General features: G+C 37.2%; 1 long non-coding RNA gene across 1 annotated transcript in view; it reads right to left on the reverse strand.

The window, feature by feature from the left end:
• Positions 1 to 9,355, reverse strand: part of LINC02994 (long intergenic non-protein coding RNA 2994) — a 331,088-nt gene extending 321,733 nt beyond the window's left edge. The window contains exons 1-2 of the long non-coding RNA NR_125909.1: positions 9,310 to 9,355; positions 3,406 to 3,595 (exon numbers count right to left, since the gene is read on the reverse strand). This is a non-coding gene — a long non-coding RNA (long intergenic non-protein coding RNA 2994). The remainder of the gene's footprint in view (positions 1 to 3,405; positions 3,596 to 9,309) is intronic.
• Between the last annotated feature and the right edge of the window lie 1,125 nt (positions 9,356 to 10,480).

The following is a 10,480-nucleotide window of genomic DNA, read 5'->3' on the forward strand; positions in this document are numbered from 1 at the left end:
GAGAAATGGATAAATTCCTAGACACATAAACTCTCCCAAGACTAAACCAGGAAGAAGTCAAATCCCTGAATAGACCAATAACAAGTTCTGAAATTGAGGCAGTTATTAACAACCTACCAACAAAGAAAAGCCCAGGACCAGGCAGATTCACAGCCTAATTCTACCAGAGGTACAAAGAGGAGTTGGTACCTTTCCTTCTGAAACTATTCCAAACAATAGAAAAAGAGGGACTGCTCCCTAACTTATTTTATGAAGCCAGCATCATCCTGATACCAAAACCTGGCAGAGACACAATCAAAAAAGAAAATTTCAGGCCAATTTCCCTGACGAACATTGATGCAAAAATCCTCAATAAAATACTGGCTAACCAATTCCAGCAGTACATCAAAAAGTTTATCCACCACAACCAAGTTGGCTTCATCCCTGGGATGCAAGACTGGTTCAACATAGGCAAATCAATAAATGTAATCCATCACATAAACAGAACCAATGACAAAAACCACACGATTATCTCAATAGACGCAGAAAAGGCCTTTAATAAAATTCACCATCCATTCATGCTAAAAAAATCTCAATAAATTAGGTATTGATGGAACATATCTCAAAATAATAAGAGCTATTTATGACAAACCCACAGCCAATATAAAACTGAATGGGCAAAAGCTGGAAGCATTCCCTTTGAAAACTGGCACAAGTCAAGGATGCCCTCTCTCACCACTCCTATTCAACATAGTATTGGAAGTTCTGGTCAGGGCAATCAAGCAAGAGAAAGAAATAAAGCATATTCAAATAGGAAGAGAGGAAGTCAAATTGTCTCTGTTTACAGATGACATGATTGTAAATTTAGAAAACACCATAATCTCAGCCCAAAATCTCCTTAAGCTAATAAGCAACTTCAGCAAAGTCTCAGGATACAAAATCAATGTGTAAAAATCACAAGCATTCCTATACACCAATAATAGACAAATAGCCAAATCATGAGTGAACTTCCATTCACAATTGCTACGAAGAGAATAAAATTCCTAGGAGTGCAAGTTACAAGGGATGCAAAGGACCTCTTCAAGGAGAACTACAAACCAATGCTCAAGGAAATAAGAGAGGACACAAACAAATACGAAAGGGCTTCTGCACAGCAAAAGAAACTATCATCAGAGTGAACAGGCAACCTATGGAATGGGAGAAAATTTTTTCAATCTATCTATCTGACAAAGGGCTAGTATCCAAAATCTACAAAGAACTTAAACAAATTTACAAGAAAAAAACAAACAACTCCATCAAAAAGTGGGCAAAGGATATGAACAGACATTTCTCAAAAGAAGACATTTATGCGGCCAACAAACATGAACAAAAGCTCATAATCACTGGTCATTAGACAAATGCAAATCAAAACCACAATGAGATACCATCTCACGCCAGTTAGAATGGTGATCATTAAAAAGTCAGGAAATAACAAATGCTGGAGAGGATGTGGAGAAATAGGAATGCTTTTACACTGTTGGTGGGAGTGTAAATTAGTTCAACTATTGTAGAAGACAGTGTGGTGATTCCACAAGGATCTAGAACCAGAAATATCATTTGACCCAACAATCACATTACTGGGTATATACCCAAAAGAATATAAATCATTCTGTTATAAAGACACATGCATGTGTATGTTTATTGCAGCACTATTCACAATAGCAAAGACATGGAATCAACCCAAATGCCCATCAATGATAGACTGAATAAAGAAAATGTGGTTATGTATACACCATGGAATACTATGCAGCCATAAAAAATGAGATCTTGTCCTTTGCAGGGACATGGATAAATCTGGAAGTCATCATCCTCAGCAAACTAACACAGGAACAGAAAACCAAACACTACATGTTCTCATTCATAAGTGGGAGTTGAACAATGAGAACACATGGACACAGGGAGGGGAACATCATACACAGGCCCCTGACAGGGGCCTGTCAGGGAGTGGGCGGCTAGGTGAGGGATAGCATTAGGAGAAATACCTAATGTAGATGACAGGTTGATGGGTGCAGCAAACCACCATAGCACGTGTATACCTGTGTAACAAACCTGCACGTTCTGCACATGTATCCCATAACTTAAAGTATAATACAAAAAAAACAGTATAAAAGTTAAAACTGGAAAAAAAATTGCCAATAATCCAGTAATCTTTGTTTTCTGTGTTTTACGTTAGTGTTGTCTTTCATTTTTAATCAACAAGGGCTGAAACCATCTCCTAATGGAACAAAACTAGATTAATCATACTAAAGAAAGAAGTCTTTTTCTCTGAATTCTAATCACTGGAGCTTAATGCTGCTAGCACGTTTTCCATTTGTGCCTTGACCTAGAGTAACCTCTTTACCTCTGTCCTCAGTCTATTTGTTGAACTTAGATGTTATAAAAGCATACTTCAAATAAAAGATAAAATTTACTACAGGGTGAAATGTAAATACCATAGTTAGAAATGAATTATTCCATAAAGTGGAAAATACTACATGCATTGGAGAAATGTAATTGTATTATAGAGTTATGTATAAAATATGCTATATATTAGTACAAATCCTTGGGAAACAGGCACAGTCAGCACAACAGGGGAAGGCCTGCGAGCCTGTGTTAACTTCCGCCACCTCAAAATTTGCACATTGCCTATCTCCTCTCCACTTGAAGTTTCAATTCTTGAAAAATGTTTTATTTAAACTTTTCCCCACAATATAAATTTTAAGGAAAAAGGGATCAACCAGAGAGAAGAGCCCATGTATGACAACAAAGATTCAGATCATTTCCCAAAAAAACCTTTCCATAAACAATCTGACCTAATCCCCAAACCAAATTTTCCATATACAGATGTTTGTTTTTAATGAAGTTTCAGGAAAAAAGTGTTAAGAGAGCATGTTCTGTTGCATTAATGATAATACCCAACCTGAGTCTGACTTGAAAGTTGCTAAATACTATTGATTTTTTTTTTTTTTTTTTTTTTGAGATGGAGTCTCACTCTATCATTCAGGCTGGAGTGCAGTGGCCAGATCTCAGCTCACTGCAACCTCTGCCTCCCACGTTCAAGCAAATTTGCCTCAGCCTCCCAAGTAGCTGGGATCACAGGCGTGCATCACCACGCCCGGCTAACGTTTGTATTTTTTAGTAGAGACAGGACTTCACCATGTTGGCCAGGCTGGTCTCAAACTCCTGACCTCAAGTGATCTGCCCGCCTTGGCCTCCTAAAGTGCTGAGATTGCAGGCATGAGCCACCGCACCTGGCCCTGAATTTTTAAAAGGTGCTGTTGAGGCATTTAACATTGAACCAGTACCTGGTAGTAAATTATATAAGGTTGTTATATACATTATAGATTTTTTAAAATGCTATGAAGAGGCATTTTCCCCCATTTTAAAGATGAGAAATCTAGGACTTACAGATGTTAAGTAACTTGCTCCAATATACAAAGCTGCTAGTGACAGGGATTCAAAGATTGCCTGATCCTGGAGTTGGTGTTCCTAACCTCTCCGTTGAGTTGCCATTGCAGCAGCCCCAAACTGCATGTAACTGTAGTCAGGATGCCAAAAACATTGCTTGCCCTCTTCATTTCTTGACTCCAGACCATGACTGAAAGGAAAGGAAAATAAAAAATTTTATCCTGAAAGATAATTGTGGCAAAAACAGTAAGCTTAATATTGGAGTTCTAGTAAAATTACCAGCTAACCAACCAAGCAACCTTGTGATTTTAGAAAATCATTTTGCCTCTGGGAAACTCAATGATACCTCTCATCTAGGATTGTGATGACTAAAAAAAACCAGGCATACTAAAAGCACTCTGCAAATTGTTCTGTCCTATAAAAATGTATATCATGATTATTGTTAGTAAGAGTTAGTACTATTTCTTTAAAGGAAAGTATGCCTTTCCTCTTTTCTGGAAAAATCTATAACTTTTTGGCTGAAGGAGGACCTGATGCTTATTAATACCTCTCCTCAGCTAAAGGTAAAAGGTCCAATAAAGCTGAGTGTATTTTGGTTCCATGCTATAAAATTAATCTTTACACATCACAATAACCTGGACAAGATAACTAATATCATATATTGGTACTATGAAGTTTCAGGCCAGCTCAGCATTCAGGGACTGCAGTGTTGTGTGGATAAAGACAGGAATTTAACTTAAATCAAGCTGCTGTAAATTCAGATTTGGAACTCAAATCCACAAATCTCTTATGATTCACCATAATAAACACACATTTCTAGTGATTACAGAAGTTCTAGGGACTAGGGCTCCATGAATAATTAAAACCTCATATTGAGATCAAGACTTCTTGAGTTTTTTTCAAAATTCTTATTTTCTTTTTTCATCACCTCAGAATGTGTACTTTCAAAGAAAAAAAGAGCATTGTATTCACTTTATAAGTCTTTGCTGATATTACACCTTTGGCTGAGAAACTTTACTTTGGTTTTCTTTTTCCAAGGAAAAGAAGAGTATTCATGGTTTGTCCTTCCTAAATCTCAGCTTGCCCTTCCACTCATTCATAATCTATTAGTTTACTAGGGCTGCCATACAAAGTACCACGGGCTGGGTGGCTTAAACAACAGAAATTTATTTTCTCAGTATTCTAGAAGCTAGAAATCTAAGATTAAATTGTTGGCAGGGTTAGTTTCCTCTGAGGCCTCTCTCTTCGGCTTGTGAATGGCTGTCTTGTCCCTGTGCCTTCAACACTGTCTTTCCTCTGTGTGTGTCTGTGTTCTAACCTCCTTTCCTTATAAAGATCCAGTTAAATTGGATTAGGGCCCATCCTGATGACCTGATTTTTATTTAATTGCTACTTTAAAGCCTTATCTCTAAATATAGTCACATTCTGAGGTATTGGAAATTAGGACTTTAACTTTATGAATTTGCAGGGGACACTATTCAGCCCATAACAAAGAAGAATAGAAACTATCTTTACTTACATTCAGTAACCTGCTTTTTTAAAAATTGTGCTTGAAAATTTCTACCTGGTGTACTCATTGGAAAGCTCAAGGCTTTGGAGGAAAAGAGCAAAGACAGTGCAACTCAGAGAAGTCATATAGTAACATTTGAATGAGGAGGGGCTAGGGAGCAAAATGTCATCTAAATTTTTTTTATTTTAGTAGCTTTTAGAGTACAAGTGTTTTTTTGTTACATGGATAAATTATATAGCAGTGAATTCTGAGATTTTAGTGCACCTGCCACCTGAGGAGTATACATTGCACCTAATGTGTAGTTTTTTTTTAACCCTATCCCCACCTCTCACCCTCCCTCTTCCGAGTTTCTGAAGTCCATTATATCACTCTGTATGCCTTTGCATACCACAGCTAATCTCCTACTTATAAGTGAGAACATACAGTTTTTGGTTTTCTATTCCTGTGTTCCTTCACTTAAAATAATGACCGCTAGCTCCATCTAAAGTTGCTGCCAAAGACACTATTTCATTCCTTTTAATGGCTGAGTAGTACTCCATGGTGCATATATACCACATTTTCTTTATCCACTCATTAGTAGATGAGTACTTACGTTGGTTCCACATCTTTGCAAATATGAATTGTGCTGCTATAAACATATGTGTGCAAGTGTCTTTTTCATATAATGACTTATTTTCCTTTGGATAGATACCCAGTAGCAGGATTGCTGGATCAAATGGTAGATCTACTTTTAGTTCTTTAAGCAATCTTCCACGGAGGTTGTTCTAATTTACATTTCTACCAGCAGTATGCAAGTGTTCCCTTTTCCCCACATCCATGCCAATATCTATTGTTTTTTTACTTTAATAATGGCCATTCTTGCAGGAATAAGATGCTATCTCATTGTAATTTTAATTTGCATTTCCCTGATGATTAGTGATGCTGAGCATTTTTTCATGTTTGTTGACCATTTGTACATTTTCTTTAGGAAACGTCTATTCATATCCCTTGCCCACTTTTTGATGGTGTTAGCAAATGTCATTTTGAGGCAAAACATTCAGGATAAAGGTATTCTTAAATTCTGAGCAATTACATGGCACTCTAAGAAATGAAGAAAGTTTCAAAAACTTTGATAGAAAAAGAACAAACTCTTGCTAGACTTTGTACTGACCTAATATATTAATAATGCTATTTATCGAGTTGTGGCTCTCCCTTAAACATAATGCAAAATTAATTATTTAAAGTAACCCAGGTTACAAAAGAAGTACAATACTTTTTAATGCTAAAGAAGAGGAACATAGATGTTGAAACATGTAAGATTTTAAGAGAGCAAAAGAATGCAAAATAGCCAGACCAGAAAAAAAAAAAAAATCATGTATTCAATATCAACAGAACATTTTAAAGAGAATGAAAAAATTTAATTCAGAAATTATGAAAAATTATCAAACTATGGTATCTTTTGATTAATGATTATATTTCACATCCATAAAAATTGTCAAATATTTGATGAGAAAAAATTGTTATGGACTAAAAGTAATATTTATCACCTACTAAATTAAGATTATCTAAATTCTATTACCTTATGCTGGTAATAGTGCAATGAGATGGGCCCTTTCCTTCACTTCTACCAGTTCACATCAATGGGAATTTAAATTGGTTCTATCTTCTCAAATGTATGAGAGGTTTAAAATATTCACACACTTTGAGAAAAAACACACAAATAAGGAAGACAAAGGACTCAAATGTTGCCACTACATAAAACTATTCAACCATAATGATAAACAATAAAAAAGAAAGAAAGAAAGGCTATACAAAAGAACCAAAAATAAAATAATAAAATGACAGGACAAGCCTTCATATATTAATAATTGTCTTTAATGTAAATGGATTAAACTATTCACTTAAAATATATAGACTTGCTCAATGGATTTTTTAAAAATGACCCAACTATATGCTGCCTACAAGAAATTCACCTGTAAATACACACATGAACTGAAAAATAAAGAGTTGGAAAAAATATTCCGTGCAAACAGAAACCAAAAATGAACAGGAGTAGCTATACTTACATCAGACAAAACAGACTTTAAATCAAAAACAGTAAAAAGATACAAAGAAGCTCATTATAGAATGACAAAGGGATCAATTCAGCAAGAAGACATCATAATTCTAAGCATATATTAACCCAACACCAGAGCACCCAGATATACAAAGTAAATATTATTAGACCAAAAGGGAAAGATAGATTCCAATATGACCATAGTTGGGGTCCTCAACACCCCACTCTCACCATTAGACAGATTGTCCAGACAGAAAATTATCAAGGAAATGTTGGATTTAAACTGCAATTAATAGCAAATGGACCTAAGAGACAGTTACAGAACATTTCATCCAACAGCTACAGAATACACACTCTTCTTATCACCACATGAAACATTCTTCAGGATAGACCATATGTTAGGACACAAAACCAGTCTCAACAAATTTTTTAATTGAAATTATATCAAGTGTTTTCTCAAACTACAGTGGAATGAATCTAGAAATAAATAACAAGAAAAACTTTAGAAACTGTAAAAATACATGGAAATTAAATAAGACATTCCTGAATGACCATTGGGTCAAGGAAGAAATTAAGGAGAAAATGTTTAAAAAAAATGTCTTGGAGCAAATAAACACCAAAATGCAACACATCAAAACCTATCAGACATAGCAAATGCAGTGCTAAGAGAGAAGTATATAGCAATAAACACCTTCATAAAAAAGTTGAAAGATTTCAAATAGTCTAATGATGTACCTTAAAAAACTAGAAAAGCAAGAACAAGCTAAATCTGAAATTAGTGGAAGGAAAGAAATAATAAAGTTCAGAGAAGAGCTAAACCAAATATAAACTAAGAAGAATACAAGAGATCAACAAAATAAGTTGGTTTTTTAAAAGGTAAACAAAATTGGTAAACCACTAGATAGACTAGCCAAGAAAAAGAGAAGACGCAAATAACTAAATCAGAATGAAAAAAGAATACATTACAACTGATACCACAGAAATGCAAAAGATCATCAGAGACTATTATGAGCAACTATACACTAACAAACTGGAAAATCAAGAGGAATTGGATAAATTCCTGGACACATACAACCTACCAAGATTGAAACAAGAAGAAATAGAAAAACTGAAAAGACCAATAACAAGTGGTAAGATTGAATCAGTAATTAAATGTCTCCCAATAAGAAAAGCCTAGAACCAGATAGCTTTATTACAGAATTCTACCAAACTTACAAAGAAGAACTAACACAACTTCTTCTCAAAATATTTTTTTAAATTGGGGAGAAAATAATTCTCCCTAACTCATTATAAGAGGCTAGCATCATCCTGAACCCAAAACTAAATAAGGACACACACACAAAAAAGAAAATTACACATCAATATGCCCGATGAACATAGATGCAAAAGTTCTTACCAAAATACTAGCAAACTGAATTCAACAGCACATTTTAAAAAACCATGATTAAGCAGGATTTATTCTAGGGATAGAAAAATGGTTCAACATAGGCAAATCAATAAATGTGACACATTGCATCAACAGAATGAAGGACAAAAACCATATGAACACCTCAATAGATGCAGAAAAAGCATTTGATAAAATTCAGTATCTCCTCATGATAAAAACTCTCAACAAACTAGGCATAGAAGAAACACAACTCGACATAATAAAGACCATATAAAACAAACCCAAAGCTAACATTATTCTAAATGGGGAAAAGCCAAAACCCTTTCCTCTAAGAGCTAGAACAAGACAAGGATGCCCAGTTTCAGCATTTCTATTCAACATAGTACTGGAAGTTTTAGCTAGAGCAATCAGGCAAGAAAAAGAAAGGCATTCAAATTGGAAAAGAGAAATTCAAAATGTCCCTCTCTGAAGCTGACATGACCTTATACATATGAAAACCTAAAGACTTCTTTAAAAAACTCTTAGATCTCATAAATAAATTAGTAAAAATTTGCAGAATGCAAAATCAACATACAAAACTCAGTAGAGTTTTTGTACACAACTAACGAACTAGCTGAGAAAGAAATCAAGGAGGAGCCAAGATGGCTGAATAGGAACAGCTCCAGTCTACAGCTCCCAGCGTGAGCGACACAGAAGACGGGTGATTTCTGCATTTCCATCTGAGGTACCGGGTTCATCTCACTAGGGAGTGCCAGACAGTGGGCGCAGGTCAGTCGGTGCGCGCACCGTGTGCGAGCCCAAGCAGGGTGAGGCATTGCCTCACTTGGGAAGCACAAGGGGTCAGGGAGTTCCCTTTCCAAGTCAAAGAAAGGGGTGACGGACGGCACCTGGAAAATGGGGTCACTCCCACCGGAATATTGCGCTTTTCGGACCGGCTTAAAAAACGGCGCACCACGAGATTATAACCCCCACCTGGCTCGGAGGCTCCTACGCCCACGGAGTCTCGCTGATTTCTAGCACAGCAGTCTGAGATCAAACTGCAAGGCGGCAGCAAGGCTGGGGGAGGGGCGCCCGCCATTGCCCAGGCTTGCTTAGGTAAACAAAGCAGCCGGGAAGCTCCAACTGGGTGGAGCCCACCACAGCTCAAGGAGGCCTGCCTGCCTCTGTAGGCTCCACCTCTGGGGGCAGGGCACAGACAAACAAAAAGACAGCAGTAACCTCTGCAGACTTAAATGCCCCTGTCTGACAGCTTTGAAGAGAGCAGTGGTTCTCCCAGCACGCAGCTGGAGATCTGAGAACGGGCAGACTGCCTCCTCAAGTGGGTCCCTGACCCCTGACCCCCGAGCAGCCTAACTGGGAGGCACCCCCCAGCAGGGGCACACTGACACCTCACACGGCAGGGTATTCCAACAGACCTGCAGCTGAGGGTCCTGTCTGTTAGAAGGAAAACTAACAAACAGAAAGGACATCCACACCAAAAACCCATCTGTACATCACCATCATCAAAGACCAAAAGTAGATAAAACCACAAAGATGGGGAAAAAACAGAACAGAAAACCAGGGAACTCTAAAACGCAGAGCGCCTCTCCTCCTCCAAAGGAACTCAGTTCCTCACCAGCAACAGAACAAAGCTGGATGGAGAATGACTTTGACAAGCTGAGAGAAGAAGGCTTCAGATGATCAAATTACTCTGAGCTACGGGAGGACATTCAAACCAAAGGCAAAGAAGTTGAAAACTTTGAAAAAAATTTAGAAGAATGTATAACTAGAATAACCAATACAGAGAAGTGCTTAAAGGAGCTGATGGAGCTGAAAACCAAGGCTTGAGAACTAAGTGAAGAATGCAGAAGCCTCAGGAGCCAATGCGATCAACTGGAAGAAAGGGTATCAGCGATGGAAGATGAAATGAATGAAATGAAGCAAGAAGGGAAGTTTAGAGAAAAAAGAATAAAAAGAAATGAGCAAAGCCTCCAAGAAATATGGGACTATGTGAAAAGACCAAATCTACGTCTGATTGGTGTACCTGAAAGTGATGGGGAGAATGGAACCAAGTTGGAAAACACTCTGCAGGATGTTATCCAGGAGAACTTCCCCAATCTAGCAAGGCAGGCCAACGTTCAGATTCAGGAAACACAGAGAACGC

This window comes from Homo sapiens, chromosome 4 (assembly GCF_000001405.40).
Source record: "Homo sapiens chromosome 4, GRCh38.p14 Primary Assembly".
Taxonomy (NCBI): domain Eukaryota; kingdom Metazoa; phylum Chordata; class Mammalia; order Primates; family Hominidae; genus Homo; species Homo sapiens.